We start from the raw sequence: 23897 nt of genomic DNA, 5'->3' as shown, positions 1-23897 counted from the left end.
ACAAGACACTGTTTTGGGACTTTATTTTCTACCTCCACCCATCAAGGTTGGCGTCTCCTTTCAATCTGAAAGGGCTAGGGGGAAACACTTCTCTTAGTGTGTTCTTGAGTTGGGTCTAACTTTCCAGGAAGAGTCAGAGGTATGGCTCAAAAACAGGTCTTGATAACACCCCCACCTCTGGGACAATGGGATGGCTCAGTCCCCAAGGCTGTACCGCTCTCAGCTTTCTTTCCTTCTTCAGCCTTTTCAAATGCTTGCTGTTTTTTTCACCCCAGCACCTGAGCAACACAGACGGTGTCCTTGTGAGAGAAACAAGCAGCTTGTGCCCTCAGAGCAGGAAGACAAAGAGTAAAGCCTTTATCCCACTGTTTGGACACACAGTGACTCCATCTCATTGAAGCCTAGGTGATGCACTTAATCACGGTCCAGGATCCACCAGCTATGCAGGCTCGGGCTAGAAAACAGATTGCTTCACACCATCCAGAGCTCTTCAGCAGCCTCACATTGCAGTCAGGCTGCAACTGGACAGATGGCATGCAGGGCTCAGATGTGGCACAGTTGGGAAGCATCTGGGTCCCACTCAGGATACAACATTGAAAACATCAGCCACGCCCTGCTGGATGAGCCAGGGTCTGATGAACGGGGACTTGCTCAGCCTACAGGTGTCCCCCAGCCATCTCTCCTCCACCAGCACAAAAGCTCCACTCGAAGCATGGCCAGTGCCTGGGCTTAGTGGCATCTAGGCTCTCCATTCTAAGCTCTTGGGTCTCAAAGCCCCACCTCTTCATCAAGTGACAGGACAAAATATCTGTTCATCGCTGCTTTGGGACTCTTTCCAGAGATAAAATTTATCCCGACTTTCAGTATAGAGGTCTGTGATATGATCTGTCTAAGGCTTTCAAAGGCCCTCTCAAAGTATGGGAGTGAGCTATGGAGACCAGAGATAGATGATAGGCTGTTACAAAGGTAGGAAGCAAGAAGGAGACCAGCAAAGACACTCTGGCCACATCCAAGTGAGAGATGATGGCACTGGACTCCAGTGGTAATGGCAGAGGTGGTGATAAGCGGTGGATGCCACACACGCTTTGAAGGTAGAGAGGACACACTTGGGCCTGTGGGATGGGCTGATGGGTTGAATGTGGGGTATGAAAGAAAAGAGCAATCGACGATGCCACCCAAGGTTTGAGGCCTAAGTAATGGGTCGATGTTGTTGAGCTTTACTGAGATGTTGAACACAAGCAGTAACAGGTTTGGAGCTGGGGAGAGAGTGCACTAAAGACGTGGATTCTGGGCATGCTAATTTCCTGTCTATTTGGCATTCAAATGGAGGCTGAATCTGGCACTCAGAAGAGAGTCAGGGGGCGGGGGGGCAGCGGAGATGAGGCAGAGGCCTGAGTAATTATCAGAATATGGTCATTCTTGCCTGGATATTCCTGGGCAGCTCAGCTAACCTGCTGGATTTGCACATCCTTATGTGTAAACTGGACATAGCAATACACTTTCCAAGCCAGACCCCTATGAGTCCCTCACGCCTTAGTTTCCAGTACACCTCAAGGGACAATTCTGAAATCCAGTTGTTTTCTCCTTCTATGATAATTAATTTAAAAAGATGAAAATCTGACCTGCAAGCCATTAACAAAACAATCATCAAATGACTTCATACAGCCTACAACATCATTCTTAAAATGTATCTATTGCCCATAATCAACAATCAAGTCCTAGATTTCCAAATCGGGCTCTCTCTTAAAGAGCCAGTGGCCCCATCCCAGGATTCCTCAGAAACAGACATCGTAAACCAAGATTGAGGAGAGATAGGAGCCCTCAGCCTGACTTTCTGGAGCTTTTGTGCAACCACGTTCCACATAAATGCTGCTGTGGCAATTAGACACGCTCCACTGTGAGCTGGAATGTATAAGGTTGGATTAGCAAGTTACTGGCAAACCATTCAGTGTCATAACCCCAAATTAAACATGCTATCCCATCAGGTAGAAAGTAGACACACGTCCACGCCCTTGTGCTAACCAAGATGGTTCTGAACACTTTCAGGTCATGATGAAGTCACACTCATTCCAAACGAAATCAACTCCAGTCCCTAACCAGAGATGGGTTTTCTGCTTAATTAACGAAGCACCATTGTGGGAGGAGAGAGAGCCACATGTGAAGAAATCAACCACAGGGCTCCTTGGCTTCAAGAAACTTACAATCTGGTTGGAGAAACATGCCCCATCCATAGAGTTAATCAGCAAGACAAGAAATGACAAGCAGGACAGGCTGGGTGCCAAATGAACAATTTTGTTTTATTTACTGGAAAGATAAACATAGTCAAAACCATGAGTGTAGCTCTAAGTAGGCGCACATTAATTTAAAACAGGCTCCCACGCTTCGTAAACAGAGCAGGTGCCGAAACAAAAACAACCTTCCAAAGTAGGTCCCAATCTTGCCCCTCGTCCTGGGAAGAGCTCTGCAGTGTTAGGAAGCCCCACTCTAGGGAAGGCCTCCAAGCCCCCTGCAGAGTCAAGATCCTGCCCTAAAGAAACTCATTCACTTCGCATATCCCAGTGCTTCCCTAAACCTATTTTAGGAGAGAACCCTTTTTTCCAGTAACCTTGTTAACATTCAGCGAAACAAATGTCAGGAAACGCTAGCCCCGAGCTGAGCTGCCAAAGACTCTTCCCCCAAGCACAACAGGCCCCAGCTTGAGAAATGGTCAAGAGCTGATTTGAGAGGCTGCCAGCCCTCCCCACATTCATTGTGGGCTGACCTTAATCACAGGAGCCAACGGCATCTTTGACAAGTGGGTACATTTTCCCAGAAACATAACTCAGGGTCATAATCCTGACCCAGCTCACACATAGCATCGAATAAATAGTATCTTTGCCCAATAATATGCCATGAAAACAAAGATAATAGAACTAAAAATTCACAAAAAAATGTGAGGTTATAAGAGTAAACTCAAGACCTCTAAAATAGTCCTAAATGAACTGAGTATATTCAGGGGCTAAGGTACCTAAAACATATAAATTTATGCTGTGAATTATCTAAAATAAACATCTGACCTTGAAGCCTACCAATTATTCAAGAAATGATTTCGTTTGCCTGTTTTGAAGGTGGAGGACCTGGGGAGGCTGACTTGGATGGGCTGGGTCTCTGTTCTAGGGCGGGGTGGAGTTAAGGGCATGTCTCTCTCCAAAGAAGCCTAAAGTTTTTTTGTTGTTAAATTCCCCAGAGACATTAAAATCATTCCAACCATAACTCTCTTACATACTGCTCGTAGTTATAAATGTTGAGAACTTTCAGGAAAATAATCTGTGGCTATGTATCAAGAAATTTTTTAACACTTTGTTCTTTTCTACCTTTTGTCCTGGGGTCTATCCCAAGAAAATAATAAAAGGGGAGGGGGCGAGGGGACAAAGATTTACACACAAAGATGATCATCACAGGATCATTCACAGTAGCAGAAACAAAAGGAGACAATCTAAAGACCCAACAATATGGCATTGATTCAGTAAATTGGGGTTTAATCATATTATGGACTGTTATGTGGTCATTAAAAATCCTTAAGCATTTTAATGACATGGGGAAGTGCTTATTAACTACAGCAATTTTCATCTTAAATAAACAGAACGTTGGAAATACTGAGCACTATGAGCTCAAGTATGTTAAAAACAAATATAAATATTCATACACTCAGAGGAAAAAAGGATAATTTGGTATATTTCTAAAAGGAAATATACCAAATTATTCACAATGTAATCTCCGAGTGGTGAGATTATGGGCTGTTTTCCAAACTGCCTACAATGAACATAAACTTTATGAATGAAGAAAGCTACGTTTAAAAATAAATTTCACTTACTTTAGAGGTACAACTTTTAAATACAAAATTAGCAATTCCCATCCTTAAGTAGTCTAAGATACCAGTCACTGATGATTTGAATTACAATTAATAATCATTTTGAAGAGAAGACTTGGGGTTGCGGGGAATACAATAGCTACCTTCAAATTGTCAAGACATGTAAGGTGAGGCATTAGCAGAATTTAACAGCAAAACATGAATTAAGGAGTTGAGCATTTCCAGGAGAGAGACTGCAGCTCCCTAAAGGTAGAACTCTCTTAAGAGTTCATATTGTACCAAAAAGAAACAGTCTACCACCAGGAGATAGAGCCCCCATCTCTGGAAGTGTCCAAGAATATCAGGGGAAACAGATAGCTACCAAACAGTGCTGAAAAAAACGGGGGAGGGCAGTTGGTGAAATGGCATTTGATTTTAAGGCCCTGCAAATTGTTGTGATTCCAACATGCAGGGGCTACAACTGAGGTCACACAATCCTTCTTGATGGGATATTTTCTATTGCCATGGTATCACCTGCCACACCATGAACCCAAACCTCAGGAAACTTCAAAACTCTTCACCAGAGGACAGAGTTTCTGGGAGGAGAGAAGGAAGCTTTGGACATCTGACATAGACTCTATCATGGCCCCATGTACACTTTGGAGTCTACACCACCCACTCCCTTCAAAGCACCAATGATCCCATCTACCACTTCTTCCTCACCAAAAGATAACCTGATTGCCTGGTTCTTCCTATTAGGTACTCATAGTTCTCCTTATAAAATAATGTTTTGGTAGTGCCCGAAGGCTTGCTTTATATCCTTAGACAACACAGACACCCTGACCACAGCCCTGACTGCGAAATGGGAAAGTTCTGACTCAGTGGCTGCTAGGAAACACAAGTCAACTCTTTTAGAGAGTCTGGCTGAGTCATAGATAAATGAATAAAATAAATAAAAACAAAGTATATATGCAGTAGAGAAAGTGGAGATAATCCAGAAGTAAAAGATTTTAGATAGTACAGGGTCACACCCCATATCCCCCAAATGTCCTGCCCGCAGAAAATACGCTGGCCCTCCCCACCATATGTCAATGAGCCCTTTGCAGCAGTCACAGCACGACACCCAGAAGCCCAGTCTCTGGCCACCTTGATGCATGTCCCACTCTCCAGCAAAGCCAGCAGGCCTCCTCCAGCCATGCCCACCATGCCCAGGTGGGGCTGGGGTTCCCTGGGGGTCCCAGGGCTCCCAGCTGCTCTTGGCACACCACACACATTGTGCTCTAAGCACCCACTTATTTGTCTCTTTCCCAGCTTCTCTGCAGTGGTTGAGAGGACGGTGTGCTCTGGAGCCAGGGTGCCTTGTTTCACATCCTGACTCCCACGACTGGGCAAATCCCCACCTCCCTGGGCCTAGTTCCTCCTCTCTAGAACAGGGGTAACACAGCCTCTGAAGCAACTGGAACAAGCCTCGCATAGGAAGCGCTACAGTCTTTGTTGCTGTTATCGTTCTTCATTGACTCCACTCTCTCTTGGTGTCTAGCATGCTTTTTCCCACACTAAATATTTGCAGAAACAATGAATGAATCAATCAATGGCAAATACAATCTCTCTAAAAGGACAACGCTTCCACCCCAAACCTGCTCCTCCTCCAATACTCCCCACTCAGTGAAGCATCTCCATCTACCTACCTTTGACTCTCCTTTCTCCCTCAATGCCAATATCTAACCTGTCAGCAAGTTCCGCTGCTGTTTCCTCCACATCTCTATTTTCACCATCCCCACTGCCAGCAGCTTAACACACGCTCCTACAGAAACAGCCAACCTGCTCAAATGACTCCCCAGTGTCAGATCCTCACCATATGCTGCACCCCAAGTCACTCTCCCGGAGCCCTGCCCGACCTCTAGCCTCCTACCTGATTTCCTGCCTCTGTCCAAGCCAAGCACTTTTCCCTTGAGGACCTTCACACATGTGTTTCCTTCTGCCCACTCCCCATCCCTTCTCCTATCCCTTCATTGGGCCAACCCCAATCAAGCCTTCAGATCTCATTTTTAATGCAATTTCCTCAGGGAGCCGCCCAGGCCTGTAATCCCCGCCAACTTCTCAGCCGAAATCAGGTCCCCCTGGTCATACCCTCATGGGCCCCCTACTCTTTGAGGGCACCTGGCACAGGGCCTCCCACAGAGGTAGGGGCCACTGTGGCTTTGCTGGTGCTCAGCAGGCAGCACAGAGCCTCCCAACACATGCCACGTCCCAGCAAGCATCCACAATCCAGGTCAAACATCCCATCGAAACAGCGCATGTGTTTAATAACCAAGAGGGTGCTCTCTAGGTAGTGTTTTAAAAAATTAATTATGGGTAGGTTCCCCTGAACTCTTCAGAAACAAAAAGCAAAGGTTCAGCATGCCCTCTGAGCTTCCTCGAAAATGCACAGGGTAGACGGCAGAGATTTTCTCTGAAGTTCTACCCATCGTGCATTATTTCGTAAGAGTTTTCCACTCTCTTGCAGCATTTAAGCAATAACAACAAGAAAAGTACACCACCACAGTCTGGCAGGCTTTGTTCCTCGGGATTCAGTCTGCTTTCTTATCCCACACCTCCATGCTCATTACACAACAAAACACACCAGACCAAGAAGTACAAAAAATCCACCCCAAGGTAAAATTCTACATCGACTTCAAAAGGAAACCCCCAAGATAAAATTGTAGGAACTTTTGAAGTCTTTTGCCGTTTTGTAAGATACATACTATACCAAAATACCACCATTTTGGGTACTGAATCTTTTTTTGCTGGATACAAAGGAGGCTAAATGAAAGTCTTTGTATAGCAAAGACACCAGAGGTGGTATCCAGGGAGCGGCTCCTAACCCCACAGCTTACCAGCCAAGACTGACTCAAACTCTACCACTCAGCACAACTTAGCTGCTTGGCACTCATTTTGTAAGAGGAAAAAAGGGAGCAAAGAATTAAAAATATAAATTTCAAAACTCCACCAAGAAAGAAAAAGAGTTTAGTTATATGAATGCGAAAATAGGACTGGGGAGGCTGGGGGGTGGGGGTGTCTTGGAACTTGTGGCTAATGTCTCTGAGTTGTTAAGAAGTCCATGAATTTGTTGGGGAGTATGGGGAAGGAAGAAGGAAGAGGGAAGGCAGGGAGGAGGAAGGCAAAGACTGACGCCTTGTATAAACTCCCAGTTTTGGGCCAGCCAATGAAGGCATCGTCCCTGTTGCAATCGATTTCCTCTCTCCTCTGAACACAGATTAGGAATCACTGGATTATATAACAAATGAGATGCTATATCAGCTACAGGAACTAAAATTTGTGGAGTCTATTCTTAATGTAAATATCATTTGATAAGTTGACCTCCACTTGTTAAGAACATTTATTCTACACATCAATCGTTTCTAATGTGGTAACCCACATACCACATGAAAATAATCCAATCAGATTAAAATAGTCCAACAAAATGCTCTGAATTCCCACGTGAAGATTCTGCCCCATATGGGTACTGGAAGAAGTTATTCTTCTTAGCAATCTGTAAAGTTGTAGTTTCGAATGATTAATAATCAACACTGAATACATCCCTATTCTTCAAGCGAGACATTAGAAATAATTATGAAATAGCTTGGCCCAAAAGTTACAACAATTCCAAATTTCGGGGAAATTAAGAAGCAATCCTTAGACAATTATTTTGAAACATGTCTGATGAAACACTGTGATGTGACTATGTCTTACTTAAAAGAGTGAAAAGCAAAGTGTGAACAAGAGCCCCAAGTGTCTGGAGAAAAGTTAGCCCTTCATCGGCGACTCTAAACACGAACCAGACCCTCTGGCCAATGTTTAACTGTACAAAGACCCAAATGATGTATCAGCCACCATTCAGAATGCACCCTTTACAAACAAAGACACACTGTACCAGCCAAAGAACAGCTGGTTTTGGTTGGCACATTGCCTTATGTTCAGCAAAAATATAATCATAAATTTGTAGTCTCAAGGTGTATGCATCCTCAATCCCAAAAACTATAGGTGACCAGGTGGATAGAGGTCAACAACGCAAGGCCTTTCTTCCACTCTACTTTCCTATCTCCCTCAACTCTTTCCTCCTCCCCAGAAATCCTCCTTCTCACCCCTGGTGTCAGGTGAAGACTGCAGAAATACCCCATCACAGGGCTGACTCATAGAACCAAAGTCACCATTCATGACAAGCATTCAAGTATTTCACAAATGTAAACCACATTTGTCCTTTTGTCCAAATTCATGGCTTTTCCCTTCTCCCCGGCTCCCAGAGCCCACCTTCCTCCACCAGCCCATCCCCTCTAGGCAATGGCCATTCCCAGATCCCCTTGAGCACAGCAGAAAGCCCAAAAGATTGTAGACAGTTGCCAGCTGTGGCTGCTTTGGACAAAGGTCTCCATCTACAAGAGGGTGTGTATGCCCCAGGGGAGTTGCTATGGTCAACACGCCTGCTAAGACACAGCAGAGGAAAAAGGTGCCTAAGCCCCCTTGCTGCACCCCTGGCCAAAATCCACACAGGCTCTGGAAGGAATGTTTTGCCATCTCCTCCAGATCATTAATTTCTACATAGGAAAATGAGATGCTTAGGGCCCAGGTTGTGGCAACTGTTCTTGTGGGATTTGAGGTGGAGGATCTTTGCTCTATCCAAATGGACAAACCCCCACTCCTTTACACGGGGGTACTGCTCCCTGGCATGGGGCCCACAGAGCCTATGCCACAAACACAGGGGCTGTGTCCACTCTGAACCACTGCCAGGATTCACATCTTCTCTCCTCACTCAAAGAGAGAGAACAACGAAGAGATTTTAAAGATAATGTCCTTTCTCTGTAGCTAAAAAATAAATGTGGGAAATTCCCATCAACCATTGCCAAAAGCAGATAAATAAATTTCAAAGCCTGGACCATGCTGGGAAATTCAGGGAGGCGGGAAACCTGAAAACAGGCTTCTTCACTTTACTCTCTAGGTGTCTAGAACTGTCACACTTTTTTAAAAAAAAAATCTCTGTATATTTGTTAAGAATTTTTTTTTAACAGGGCATTCACTTTTGGAGAAACCTGCATTAGAACCCCCAACCAGCAACTTCTTTACACCTATGCACTGTCCCTGACCATGACCCAATTTACAGTCAGCAAAACAGAACCAGCCACAGCAGTTATTTTCACCTCCTGTAGGAGAGAAGACATCACAAGGCTCTGGAAAGGGAGCAGAGAACTGGATCCAAGCCTTGCTCTGGCCACTGACTCAGCGTGTGACATTGGGCAATTCACTTAAGGCATCTCTGGGCCTCAGTTTCCTTTCCTGAGGGCAAGTTGGGCCTAAATGATCTAAGGTCACTTCCAGCCCTGAAATCTTGACCTTATAGGAGCAGATGTAATTATGAGCATCCATTTTATTGTGGAGTTAGAGGAAAGGGGAAGCTTCTAGCAAATGTCAATCTTCTTTCTACATGCCTCATTTATACCAGAGAAAAGAAGACATTGTCACAAATGATGACTCAAAATATGGTTTTATAAAAATAAGTTATTTTGTGATATAAACACACACATATGACAGAGGTATAACTCATTAAATAACACATGCTCAATTACAGCAAGCTCCAAAATAAGGAGGCAGTTAGCCCAAAATGGCAGAATGCATCTTAAGATTTTTCTACTTAAGAAACTTATTTTGCAATTTTTAGAAATTACAATATAGAGGCAAAATGTATTTATGATTAACATTTTGTGATACTCAAATGAAAAACCCATGATTGATTCATGCTTTGCATAATTCTACCTGTCATGGATGGATTCATTATAAAAATATGCCTTCCATTAATTATTTCAAAAGTATGAAGTCCAGCTCATGATATAAATACATAGAAGGGAATCTTCAAATAAGGCTGAGCTATCTTCTCAAGAGGTTAATTTATAAATTCCACTCTTAGAGCCTACAAAACCCTAAGAAAATACATTAAAAATATATGTAGACACACACTTGTAGTCTCTTAGTACTAAAAACAAATGCTTTCTCTATCAAACCTACATACTTTCAAAGCCATGGATGTATAGATTAAATTCCATTTTAGCCTTTCAAAGTTCATTTCTACTCTAGGTTTACAAGTCAGCCAGCCCAGATGAAATTTTTCTAATGTTAGTGTAGAATGTTGCCAACAAATATTAAGATAAATTGGGGGAGAGGATAATAGGCAAGTTTCAAATCCAGGACCCCCTTTTGAGTTTTCTAATTCCCTCTTCTTCACTTCACCTGCCCTGAATGTATTTTTATAACTGCTTTGATACCACCTCTAGTCTCCTCCATACCATGGTGATTGTGTCCTATAAACTAGAGCCCACAAGGCTAGATTTTAACCAAATACATGGAAAAGAGTGGAGGAAAGGTTTGTAAAATTTCCAGGTAGGTTACAATCATTAAGGTCCAATAGCAGAAAATGAATACCTTATAGATATAAACTATACCCAACAATATTTCCAAAGAAAATGTGTTTAAAGAAAGAAAAAAATGACAAATAAGGCCTGTTATCATCAAAAAAGCATTTTCTTTTTCACCCCCTCAATAAAGGAAGCCATCATCTCTGGGAGGTTACTTACGACAATGTGTGCCGGTGATGGGGACCGGGCATCCTTGAGGGCTTGTCTACTCTGGAGGCTCCCTGCCTGGACATCAAGCAGTGGCCATTTCATCTGGAGATACTGGCGAGAGGAAACAAAAGTGAAATGAAAAACAATGAATTCAGAAAGTAAATGCAGAACAACTAGCCCAAGAAATAACTGTGACATGGGTCAGAAACTGAAAAACATACAAGCATGCAAATAATCATTAAAAAAATAAAAAAGCATGCAATTCCAATAGGGTCTTCCTCAGAGCTCAAGTTCAGTAAGTACACATATAGAAGATTAATGTTACTAGCAACTGTATTTTTTGTCTTTGCATTCAAAGTACAGGGTAGCTTCAGAAAAAATGATTTCATTACTACTACCTTAACTTGGTGGGGGCTGGAGGGGAGTGGGAGAGGTGGGGAGGGAGAGGAAAGAATATAGAGCTATTCCAAAGGAAGAAAGTAAAACACAAATCTCAAGCCAGAAGTGTCCTAGGAAACCATCAATTCCAAATCTGCTCCTTTTCAACCTCCGTTTTTCAAATGTCATCATCCTTCACTTTAAAGGAAGTCAAGTACATATGAGCAGCTGTCCTTTAGGTAGCAAAAGCTACTTGAGTACGGTGAGCATGCAGTTCTTCATACAACCCAAGTTTACTCAACAAAACTTACTTCTTGGTAAAAAATGCACAGGGCCAGACACAATGTATACACTCATCTCAAAAGACCAGAGGAATGCTTTAGTATGCACAGGTTTACCATAGAGATAAAAATAAAGGTGTACATCAATTCTGTCTGTCCCCACCTTCCTCCAAGCTAGGAAATAAATATACGGCCCAAGGGAGCTACTTCTGTCAAAAGCGATCAATTAGCTTTCAGTGAGATTTGAACGATGAGTTGACCCAGTTCCTCATTTTGCAGACAAGGTAAAATGAGGTGAGGTGGCTTGCCCAGTCACAGAGGTACTCAGCCCATGTATAAGAAACTCTTAGGCATTTAACTTCTGTTGGTAACATTAAGACAGTTTCACTCAGGAAACCAAACAGAACTTAGACACAATGCTTAGAAGCACATGGAGACGAGCCTTTATGCTTCTCAAGGCCAACTCACTAATCCATCAGTTAATGAATGCTTGGAGGGGATATAAGATATAAGGAGACACCTTGGTCATTTCGGAGACCTCCTCAAGCAAAATAAATGGCTGGTTTTAATATTAATTCTATAGAAAACTTTACTCAATGAACACTGAGTACTACTTGCTTTGTGTACAGGCTGTGACAAGCACTAGGAGAGACAAAGATGTCCGCTCTCGGGGAGTTTTGCCAGCATGAGGAGCCTTACAGACACAGGTAAATCAAGACAGAACATGGTGACACTGTGACAGAGACTCAGGGACTCAGGAAATGCCAAGAAAGATGACAGAATTTCTGGGACAATAGACTGGGGAAGGCTGCACAGAGTTAGGTCTTGATGGTCAGAACAATTTCAATAGAAAGAAAAAAGACAGGAAAGGATAATACAGAAAGAAGGGTTTGCACAAATCCCACGAGAGACAGAAGTGCCAAAGCCATCCACAAGCCAGCCGACGGAGTTCCTCGAAGATACGACTGCTTGGCAAATTCAAACCAAATTTGGTTATACCTAAAGCTGGAAGATCATTGCCCAAGAACTACTTGCCAAAGTACACAGTCGATTTTCCCATGACGTCTAGGATCTATACGAGGTGGGTGTGTCTGCTACAAATTCAGAGCTTTCACCTAGAGGCCTCCCGTGGTGAGCAACCTAGTTATTAGTCCGGTTGTGTCTGCATCTTGCCACAAGACCCTGCATCGACTCCCCTTGCTTCAGTGATCTCTGTTTTTTTCATCTGTGTACTGAATGAGTTGTCCTATCTGCGACAGGGTATTAGGTGGGGAGTCTGCCCCAAACACTGAAGGACTTGTAGGACTCCAAGCCCCCAGACAGTAAATACCAACAGGAACCCCCTTGGTTATCCTTACCATCTCATCACTTCCAAATACCTTCTCTGGGAGCAGTATCATCTCAAGTTGAGAACCACTAAAGTAAATATTTCCAGTCTCCATCTGTAACCCAGGCCAGAGGGCTCTGGGAATCTAAACTGCCCCATCTCATCCCAACTTCTTCCCATTCTCACTTACCACATAACTATATGAGCTGCATTGGTCAAAACCACTCAATAGAGTCATTTCCTTGAGGCCAACCAAAATGGACACCCACCAACACTCACCTCTCCATCTCATAAAAACCCGTGAACAAAAATGCCAAATGGAGTCAAACCCATCTACATCCCATGCTATCCCTCAGTGGGGAGAGCTGGATTGGTGGACAAGTTTTCATCTTTGGCCACCTGCAAAACCGATTTGATTACATCCAAATACCAGCTCTGTAGAATTAGGAAACTCGGGCTTTGTTGAAGGTGACAGACCTGCCCTGAGGACCCACCCAAGAACTGTCATACTCATAATACAATATTAACATGGAGACTTATAATTCTTACTTTACATAAAAGCTTCATTGTGTGCCACATCCAATCTCCATAGGCTACCTGCACCACATATTTTTATGAGCCCACATTTCAGCACTCCAAGCCTACAATACACATAATTTTCAATTATGTTAGGGCAGCCCAGGATCATTGCCTATATAACATTATTGTTGGAGGAAATGAGACTCGGCCCCACTGCCCAGAGAGAGCTAACCAAATCCAGATGGTGCAGGAAGACAGCCCTGGTCCTGCTGACTTGCAGGGACTCCACAGTGACAGCCCCAAACTCTCCTTCCCAGTGCAACTTGATGCCACAGAACCGCTGGGTACACACAAATCCAAGCCCATTCCTTGAATCTTAACTGGCATTCAGGCTGATGAAGTGCCTTTTGGGGAAATAAGTATTATGTCAGGATTTTCTAAAGGAAGCTATTAACCTTCTCCAAAAGTGATGGGTTTCCCAGCTTCCTTCATCTTCTACAATTGGTGCTTATTAATAGGGAAAATAAATAAATAAAGAGAAGAAAAAGGAAATTAGGTACTATTACAGCCTAGAGGAAAATTTTTTTCCTTCCTGGAGACATTAAGCAGCAGGAATTTCTATTCTGTTGGGTCCTAAAGGAAGACCTAAAGGAGGGGGCATCTCAGATTTACAAAAGGGCTGGAACCCTGTGCCACGTTTTCCCAACCATCTGACTTAGTTTTATATCCTTTTGGGGGAGGGAAAAAAAAAGTTCCCACCATCCCACTACAAAAACAACAGTGGGCTCCAGCTCTCTTCCTCTCAGGCTGTTCAATGTGGAAATTATGAATTGCCTACAAAAACATTAAACTTTTCAACAAACTGCAATCAAATGGGGCTGTGGGAATTCCTACATTGAAAACTGTTGGACGGGAGTCTGCTCAACTTTCATTAAAAAAAAAGAAAGAAAGAAAGAAAGAAAGAAGGCCATCTTGGCTTAAGCATTTCATCCTTTGTTGAATAATAATGTTCTGATCATGGCCCATTAGGGTTTTTCCCCAAATCATATTTTATGATATGTCTCAGGGAGCTTAAGTTAAGCTTTGGACCTGTGAGCAAATCTTGAAATATATACAACACCAATGGCCTGAAAGGAATCAAAGCAGCTGAAAAGACTGTTAAATTGCCAGCAAAAAGAAAAAGGTGAGCATCTCTAATTATTTTTCTCCTCTTCCACCTCCCCCAATGAAAACAGGGAGAAAAGGCAAATGAGGAGAGGCTCCTTTAGGAAATAGTCTTAGCAGAAATTGGCATCTACTAAAGCCAGACTGATCCTGCTCCCATAGAGGGGCCTTCATCCTTGAGAATCTTCCATCAGCAGCAAGAATGTTGAGGATGGGCTGCTCCAAGAACCTGCCCCCTTACAGCTGCTACTGGGGGCTCTGTATAAATTTCTTTTCTAAACAAGCAGAAAACTTAAAGGGCAGATGATGATGATGATGATGATGATGATGATGATGATGATGATGATGATGGTGATGATGATGATGATATGGCGACAAAGTTGCCAGGAAACCTCACATCCTTGATAAAACACCAAGTGGCTTCCAGTATTTCCAGTATTTCCTTTCAGTGACTCTGCTCCACAGATGGACGGGGCAAGTGGAATTTGTCCCTTTATTTGTTCAGGGCAGGGTTGGCAAACTTTTTCTGCAAAGTGCCAGACAGCAAATATCTTAGGCTTTGCGGCCCACACAATCTCTGTCATAACTACTCGACTCAGCCATTGTAACTCGAAAGCAGCCACAGGCAGTCAGTATATGTCTTGTATCATGGCTGTGCTCCAATAAAAGCTTATTTACAGATACTGAAATGTGAATTTCATATCATTTTCCTGTGTCAGAAAATATTATTCCTCTCTTGATGTGTTTCAACCATTTAAAAATAATAAAAGTGCTGGATGCAGCGGCTCAGGCCTGTAGTCCCAACATTTTGGAAGGCCAAGGCCGGAAGATTGCTTAAGGCCAGGAGTTCCAGACCAGCCTGGGCAACAACAGCAAGACTGTACAAAAATAAAAAAAGTTAGCAGGAGGATTGCTAGAGCCCAGGAGTTTCACGCTGCAGGAGCCGTGATTGCACCACTGCACTCCAGCCTGGGTGACAAAATGAGAACCTGGCTCAAAAAATATTAATAATAATGATAATAAAAAGTCATTCTTAACTCACTGGCCAGAAAAAAGCACGTGGCAAGCCAATTTTGGTCTATGGGCCATAGTTTGTCATGCCCTGGTTAGGGAATAAAATTGTAGAGGCCTGCCTGTGTCAGATGGGCGAGGGTGCCTTCCCTTGCTGGGCCTTCAATCCAAACAGCCCAACACAGGCATGCAGAAAAGCATGTCCGGTGGCCTAATAGCAACGTTTCGGATTAACTCAAGTTGTGAGGGAAAAGCTTGGAAAAAAATCCTGAACCCTTTGGCTGAGGCCCCCATCACAAGGTCTAACCACAAGACCACAATCTCACCAAAATAACTACCCCCTCTTTTCCAGAATGGAAGTCTAAAAATCCCTGAGCAATTCTGACTGGAAAAGGTTCAGAGCGAGACCCTGTTGAAAGAAAGAGAGAAAGAGAGAAAAGAAAGGAAGGAAAGAGATGGAAAGGGAAGGAAAGGGGAGGAAAGGGAAGGAGGGGAGGGGAGAGGGGAAGGAAAAGGAAAGAAAAAAGTAAAGAAAAGACAAAACGAATTATGGTATTTTTGAGATACAGTCTTACTCTGTTGCCTAGGCTGGAGTGCAGTGACGCAAGCTCGACTCACTGCAACCTCTACCTTCCAGCTTCAAGTGATTCTCCTGCCTCAGCCTCCCGAGTAGCTGGGATTACAGGCGCGTATCACCACGCCAGGCTAATTTTTGTATTTTTAGTAGAGATCGGGTTTTACCATGTTGGTCAGGCTGGTCTCAAACTCCTGACCTCAGATGACCCTCCCACCTCAGCCTCCCAAAGTGCTGGGATTACAGGTGGGAGCCATGTCTGACCAAAAAAATCGAATTAATTGGTTACTATCCTCATGATGGCTTTCCGCTGTTAAATTTTCCTAATCCTCTGGTGCCAGAAAGTTGTACTTCTGGTTTTAACCAAATACAAAATCAATACTCTGCTTATGCGCCCAAAGCTGAGAGTATAGCCAGCCATAGCCCATCATGTCCAAAGTCACTAAGCCTCCTCCGCATCAAGGTGGCTGCTCCTAATCTTTCAGTGCAGCCTCACCACGGGCCATTCATACTGACCCCCTACAAATATGCAACACAAAAGACCGCACCACGATTATGATTCTCATATCATTACACTTTACAAAAGGAAAGACGATCAGAAGCCACTCACCATAGAAAGGGAAATACCAGAAAAATGTGCAAAATAAGAAAATAGGAAGTACAAGTATACAACCCAATAGCGGACACTTATTTCTTCAGGAACTCATATTGTGACACACACCTAGTAGACACAAACATTTCTGTTAAAGAAGAGGCCTGATTGTCTCTTTCTAAACCTACCTCATTTCTCAGAAATGGACGATGGAAAATTCAGCCCATCTTCTATAAACAAATAATTTTGCCTGGGCGTCACGGAATCCCAATTTACCCAGAATGGTTAAAATACAAGAAGTTGTGATTAATTTAATATTCTGCCCTACCCTCTGAATCATACAGGCACCAAAGTTTTCCAAAAGTTAGCATTGATCAAATATACCTAACACTGAAACTCTGTGAAACTATTTCACAAGTCCCTTCAGAATTGTAAGGGGCATCATTACAAAGTCTGTTTAACCAACTTTTCTGCAGATGCAGAAGGTATAGGAGACTAGGCTGCTTTGCTCTAAGTAAAAACATACTCCAGGAATTGCATCTTTTGAAAAAATCCAGAAAGCCTAAGACGGAGGCTTTATTTGCCTATAAAGCATGACTGTATAGAAAAAGAAATGTGTGATTGCTGTTGTTTAACATAAATAAGTATGTACTATAGTTACCTAGGAAAAGAAAACCAAAGATCTCAGAAGGTTGGGTAGACTCTGTACTTGGAGAAAGAATAAAGCCATAGAAAAATTTCAAGCCAGGCATGGTGGCCCACGCCAGTAATCCCAGTACTTTGGAAGGCTGAGGCAGGAAGATTGCTTGAGTCCAGGAGTTCAAGACCAGCCTAGGAGACCCCATCTCTACCAAAAAAAAAAAATTAGCTGAGTGTGGTGGCGCGTGCCTGTGGTCCCAGCTACTTGGGAGGCTGAGGTGGGAGGATCACTTGAGCCCAGGAGGCAGAGGTTGCAATAAGCCAAGAAGGTGCCACTGCACTCCAGCCTGAGCAACAGAGCAAGACCTGGTCTCAAAAGAAAAAGGAAGAATAGAAAAGAAAAGGAAACGAGAGAGAGAGAGAGAAGCAGCAGAAGGAGGAGGAGGAAGGGAAGGAGGAGGAGGAAAGGAGGGAGGGAGGGAAAAGAAAAAAAGAAAAGAAAAGATAAAAAAGAAAAAGATTTAAGTAAGATATTAAGGTTGACTTGGGGGAAAAAAAACCAACATAGTCGGAACTCTTTTAAGTTTTTCCCTTAAATCACTATCTCATTTCTCACATAAAAGGAATATAGGGGGAAAAAGGTAGGATATCAAGGCATCTGTGTGAACAATTTAATAGCCTTATCTTCTATCTCTATCAGTTGGTTGTTATAAGATTTTCAATGAAATCCTTACAGTTAACCTTTTTCTCATAAATATTTTTAATCATAACAATGTAAAGAGCACTAATATCACTTCATATTTAGAGGGTATTTTAGAGTTCAGAATGACATCCACAATAACCCTACAAAATAAATGGGCAGAAAGGTGGAACTAACCTGTTAGCAAGGAGGAAACTAAGGCCAACAGAGCAAGACCCAGATTGACTGAGGTGACAGGAGCGAGTGGCAGTCAAGCATCTAGGTCTCCAGCATACCGGATGTGTTTTCACTCACCCTGACTTACCTTACAAATCCCTTCTATCTTTCCCAGTTTTCTTATCAACTGTTAGGCATCCTTGCCTGAACTCAACCAGGATGTGTGTCTCAAAGTACATGGTGAAGGGAACATCTCAGTGTCCCCAAAGTAATAAGCAAGACTTTCCAGCATCTAGCATCTCTCCCTCCCAAGTCTATGGACAAACACTGAATTGTTTTCCAAGGAAATTTTTCCACCAGATTTAAGGAGGCCCCTGGTGTGATGAAGACAATGAAGCAAAACAAATAACTAACAAACAAAAAAATCCAATTAACAAAACTTGGGATTCACTGTTTTCTTTAACCCGCCAATCCTTTAACAGCTCTGTCCCTGAACTATTTCTGCATTTGACAGGTTAGTGGTTCTGCAGGGAGGCTATGGTACAGCAGCTCACACACGGACAATCGGTATGGAATTTCACCAGACCCTCCTCTCACAACCAATGGGCCCCTTAGGCTGAGGCCCAGGCCTTCCTTCCACCCTCTCCCAAAAGTCGCTCTTCAAATTACGAGTGCGTACTCCCAGGAAAAGTATGGTAGAAAGGGAAGAGTCTGGAAACCTATTTTCCAGGCCTAGCTCTGCCACTGACCTGGCATGTCACTTCATTTCTTCATTGGACAACCTCTTCTCCACGCTTTGCCTAAGTCTGTAGCAAGAAATGAGGAACATGATCTAAAACTCTTTCTACTCCAATGCATGGATTCCTGCAGCATTTACCATTAAACAGATGCTCTGTGTCAGCTATGGACTAGATATTCTGAGGCCCAGAGAAGTCATCTAAAGACACAGTCAATGGGACAATAAGCTAATCAATGGTGCAGGAATTAACACAAAGAAGGTAAGTAGGGCCAGACACAGTGGCTCATGCCTGTAATCCCAGCACTTTAAGAGGCAGAGGTGGGCGGATCACTTTGAGGTCAGTAGTTCGAGACCAGCCTGGCCAACATGGTGAGACCCCATCTCTCCAAAAAATATAAAAATTAGCTGGGTGTGGTGGCAGGCGCCTGTTATGCCAGCTACTCGGGAGGCTAAAGCAGGAGAATTGCTTGAACCTGGGAGGCAGAGGTTATAGTGAGCCAAGATTGTGCAACTGCACTCCAGCTTGGGCAACAGAGCCAGACTCCATCTCAAAAGGAAAAAAAAAAAAAAAAAAAGGTTGCACAGTATCCAAACCTTGCTGGCTTGTTTAGAGGGACTTTTTTCCTGATGCACTCCAGATCTGTTAAATGAAACTTGGTAGTGGCCCAGGATCTGTACGTACTTTTTTCCAACTTGCCAAGCAATTCTGACCATCAGTCAACATCAACTATCAGTGCTAGGGCAGTGTCAATAATCAGCATGTAGTCCATTTGAAGATTCCATTTTACTTCCTCAAAGGCTCTTTTAGACCTCTAAATTGATTGTCACTACATCCTTTTTAGGTGGTCAAAGCCAATAATCTCCAAATCCATCTTAAAACAGAAGAAAGTGAGGCACAGAAAACTAAGTGACTTAGTTATACACAGTTATGAGGGACTGAAACCAGAACGCAGGACTTTGGTACTTCCAGGCCAGAACTCTTTTGCCTACACCCTACTGAGCTTACGGGCAGAATGGCCAATGGGTGCCCAGGCAGGAAGAGAAATCTCCAGGGGAGGGCAAAGACCCTGCAATGGTGCAGTCCCAAGACAGGGAGCTGGTGAGACAGACTCTGGCCTCTGAGACAGTCTTGTTCCATAGTGACCAAAAGAGGCCCAGACCTAGCCATCTCAAAGTCTTCAGGCAACCCCAAGATTGAGTCCCACCCAAAGGGCTGTGGATTCCAAACAAATGTCAGCTCCACCACCAGCACACAAGTCCCTAAGCCAGGAGGTTAAAGGACATGAAGACATTGGAAGAATTCAAAAGGAGCAGCCCTTGCCCTCCCATGTCTCTCAGAGTCTTCAGCAGACAGAGCAAGACAGGCTAATGCTCCTTGGCCGCTAAGCTGATGACTAACAAATAATGGATGCTTGCAAGCTCCTGGAAGAACCTCCCACTAAGAGGCAGGCCAGAGGCCATCTACCTTCAGGCAGAAAAGTATTTACAATCTTTCACTTTAATATCAATCTTGTGGCCACCATATTTTCTAATTACTGCTTCTTATAAAAAGGCCAAGTACAATGCAGTTAATTGGAATGTTTTAGTTACTACCCATGTCTCTACAGCATGCTGAAGTAGGCAGAGGCAACAGGAGACCAGGAAAATAGCTGGAAGACAAGGAGCAGCCCAGGAATGAATGTGGGTGTCACTGGGAGCTGAATATGGTATGTTCTGGGATAAGAATGCACCAAGTCTCAACCGATAGCTGGATAACTAAAATGCGGTACAGCCATAAAATGGAATACTATTCAGTAATAAAAACAAATGGAGTACTGACACATGCCACAACATGGTAGCCCTTGAAAATATGCTAACTTCAAGGCAGATGAAGAAAGTTTCATGGTGTATGATTCTTTTTATATGAAATAACCAAAATAGGCAAATTCATAGAGACAGGAAGTAAATTAGTGATTGCCAGGAGCTATGGGGAAGGCGGGTAGAGACTGGCTGCTAGGGTTACAGTGTTTCTTTTGGGGATGATAAAAATATTAAGATACTGGTATGTTTGTACAATCTTGTAAATATACTAAATAGACTAAAAAACCACTGAACTGTACACCTTAAATGGGTACATTTTATGACGTGTGAATTATATGTGAATTTAAGATGAACTGAAAACAAAAAAGAGTCAGGCACCATCTTTGATGGTGACCACATTCATTTAAGAGATAAAAGGGGATGGGGAGGCTTGGCGCGGTGGCTCACACCTGTAATCCCAGCACTTTGGGAGGCCGAGGCGGTTGGATCACCTGAGGTCAGGAGTTTGTGTGACCAGACTGACCAAAGTGATGAAACTCCATCTCTACTAAAAATACAAAAATTAGCTGGACGTGGTGGCGCATGCCTGTAATCCTAGCTACTTGCGAGGCTGAGACAGGAGAATCGCTTGAACCCAGGAGGTGGAGGTTGCAGTGAGCCGAGATCACGCCATTGCACTCAAGCCTGGGCCACAAAAGCGAAATTCCATCTCAAAAAAAAAAAAAAAAAAAGAGGAATGGAGAGAAGACAGAGTCACATACACACACACTCCACCATAGAAGAATGAACAGAAAACCTGTGAACCCGTTCTATACAAAATCATATCCTCCAAAGCTTCTTGGGAAACAAGCAATTTTTCCAAATGTGATTTTGGTTGGTGCTGAATCTCGGGGAGGGATGCTTACAAAGGCATGGGAACTCCAAGACCTTGTGAAAGATAAGAGAGGACAGTATACCTTGGGTTAATGGTGCTGATGAAGAAACATGGGAAAGAGGACTGTTTCAAGGCATGTGGCTAAAAAACAACAGAAGAGCAGTTGAGTCAACAAAACCACAGGCAATTCAGAAACCTGAATCTTAGAGTCCATTCTCTAGTACCCTGTGACCTCAGTTTCTCTACCTAAAAAAAAGTAGGCATGAAATCACATACCTAAAGCCCCTTGACTAGCTCCCACATCATTTATTCAACCTTGAAGGATAAACCATGTAAATGAAGACAAATAATTATATCAGGTCCAAGGCAGCTAAGATTTGCTATTTCTTCTTCCCACTACACAGGGGATTTCACAGCCAGAAATTTTAGGTCTACCATGGAAATTGTTAAGAGACGAAGCCAACAAATGACCTTTGAGAGGTACAAAGCCAGCAAGTAACAGGGTCCTGGTGACCTGGAAGGGTTATTTTAAATCCATGAATCATCAGATTGCAGCAGATATTAAAATCACAACTTCTAAAAAATCCCTTTCTTTCTCCATGGCTGGGAGCTCTCAAGGCTTGATTTTTCTAATTAGGTTCTCCTCCCCATTCTGTATTTCTTTCCCCCATTCCACAACAACAAAAGACAACGAAAGACTTGGCGGTCAAAGAGCAATGAATTAACTTGCTTTAGTGAGTCTACATAGACAGCAAATGCGAGACAGGCTGGGCTCCGTGTCCTCCAACTTCAACTGAAACCGCACCCCGTGCTGCGTTTTCCTTTTGTTTTTTTTCCCCTTGTCACATTGGAAAGAGGTCAGTGGCTCTGGCAGGGTCTCCCTGTCCAAATTTTTATTGTCAAATTCTAGCTGTGACAAACATGTGGAGATGCTTCGTAACGCTACACCCAGGAAGCCCAAAGGTCAGCAGTGCCTCTGGTTAATTTTGCTTGGGGAGGAACAAACCCCAAAGCCAGGGTGAAGATTTACGGGAGGCTGACCTTCTGGAGGCCCCACGACCCCCCTGCATGCAAGTCTTGCTGCCTCAGCCAGAAGCAGCCTGTCACTCAAGTATCATCTTGCTGTAACAAATTACTCCTAACCCAGGATTATGGCTCTTTCCAAATCCCTCCTAGAGAGCAAGGAAATAAACATTCTCTCCCAGGACTCTGCCCCAGTTGTTCCCCCTGTTGGTAATCCTTGTCTCTATTTGCTCCTCCTACAAGCCTTCATCTGGGAGGTCTGCTAGACCATCCCGGCCCACTTTCCTTTCAGACATAAGCTGAATGTCTCAATTGTCCATTAGGCACAGTAAAAGATGAAGGCAGGCTTTCTGTCCAGAGAAGCCTCACACAATAGTTCCCTTTGCCCACACGCTTCTCGTCTGACTGCAGACCCGACGGGTCTAATCCTAGTCACTCAAGGAAGTCCACACCCCAAATTCCTTCTTCACGTTCCATGGGACGGGTGGCAAGAACAGACCATCCCAGAGAAGCAGGGCTGCAGGGCTACCTCCTGGGGACGGCATGACATGTGGGGCTGGGTTGAATAGGGTGAGGGGGGGAGAGAAGAGGAGAGGGAGGAAGGAGGGTCGAAAAGAAGAGGCAAGATAATAGGGTTGCAGGCTGTAGAAACTGCCTCTCTTACCCCTGCCTGCGGTTTCCTTTAATAAACTACCAGGAGATATTTCGAGCACAATAACCTCATTTGGGGAAGGAAATACAGTTTTGTCCACTTCCAAAGTCTCCTGTGAAACACTGGGATATTCCAAGCACTTTGGACACAGAGGGCTGTTTTGTTTTTTTAATTGTATACATAGACTGACTAGAATATGCCAAGAAGCAGAGAAGAGAACAATGGATATTATCATCAAAGTGGGTGATTTGAGGAGATAAGGATCTTAGGGCTGTTTTAAGAAAGACTTTCTCCCTGGAGAGAGAGAATCGTTGACAGGCACCCTCTCTGACACATGACAGACAAGGAGAGAAACGCTGAAAGAACCAAAAGACATTGATGAAACATAAACACCCCTATCAAAACCCAGACACCAAATCAAATTCCTGCTTCAAAAACCAAAAAGAAATAAGCAGTTGAGGAACTAGGAATGTAACTTTCTGCAAGAACCAAAAAGTGCTGAAGAAATATAAATGGCCCTATCAAAATCCAGACACCAAATCAAATTCCACTTCCAAAAAGAAAAAGAAAAACCAGTTGAATTAGTCAGCACCACTAACTCATTCCAAAGCAAGGACCACCTTTATTTTCTCATGTTTAAGGCCAGGGCTGACCACTCTCCCTTCTCTGGACCCAGCCACTATGCCTCTCTAACCCAACTCGTTCTCTGCTTTTGTGGTTTTAGTCTTTAAAAGAACTTGGCTTGGGAAAGAGCAATAATGATCCGAAGCTAACCACTTAGCTCATTAGTATGTCATCTAGACAGGCAAAATCAATTCCAACAGCATCGAGTTTGGGTATTCCCTCCCCAAAAGGTCTGCGCTATTAATAGCAAGAAAGTTTCCCAGGCTTTGGTTTATTTGTAATCCCAACCAGCTCTGACCACAGAACCTGGCCATCTCCACTTCTAGAGCTCCCAGGAATTCAGGAGATGGGATTTCAGGTCTCAAGTTTTCAACAGCAGTGGAAAGATGTGGAAAGAAGGAAAGAAGGCTGAACTTAATGGA

The 23897-nt window shown here is 43.5% G+C and overlaps 1 protein-coding gene and 1 non-coding gene across 16 annotated transcripts in view, besides 1 other annotated feature; both read right to left on the bottom strand.

Annotated features, from left to right (window-relative positions):
* The window catches only part of TCF7L2 (transcription factor 7 like 2), a 217432-nt gene that overhangs the window by 117121 nt on the left and 76414 nt on the right, over window positions 1–23897 (bottom strand). For 14 of the 15 annotated variants that reach the window (NM_001367943.1, NM_001363501.2, NM_001146274.2 and 11 more), the window contains one exon: window positions 10432–10533. The exons of the other annotated variant lie outside the window; for it this stretch is intronic. In NM_001367943.1, the coding sequence (NP_001354872.1) occupies window positions 10432–10533 (102 nt within the window). The remainder of the gene's footprint in view (window positions 1–10431; window positions 10534–23897) is intronic. 15 annotated transcript variants of the gene reach the window in all.
* On the bottom strand, window positions 4982–5203 carry SNORA87 (small nucleolar RNA, H/ACA box 87). The gene has a single exon (NR_132769.1). It is a non-coding gene; the product is annotated as a small nucleolar RNA, H/ACA box 87 (small nucleolar RNA).
* Window positions 5505–6503: an enhancer, noted in NCBI's record as "H3K27ac-H3K4me1 hESC enhancer chr10:114803814-114804812 (GRCh37/hg19 assembly coordinates)". NCBI's record gives its function as "activates a minimal SCP1, AML or CMV promoter by ChIP-STARR-seq in primed H9 embryonic stem cells {active_cell/tissue: H9 hESC(primed)}" and the evidence as "EXISTENCE:reporter gene assay evidence [ECO:0000049][PMID:30033119]".

The sequence above is a fragment of the Homo sapiens genome, chromosome 10 (genome assembly GCF_000001405.40).
Source record: "Homo sapiens chromosome 10, GRCh38.p14 Primary Assembly".
Lineage (NCBI taxonomy): Eukaryota > Metazoa > Chordata > Mammalia > Primates > Hominidae > Homo > Homo sapiens.
The sequence above is the reverse complement of the archived record's forward strand: the minus strand, read 5'-3'. Positions and strand labels throughout refer to the sequence as shown.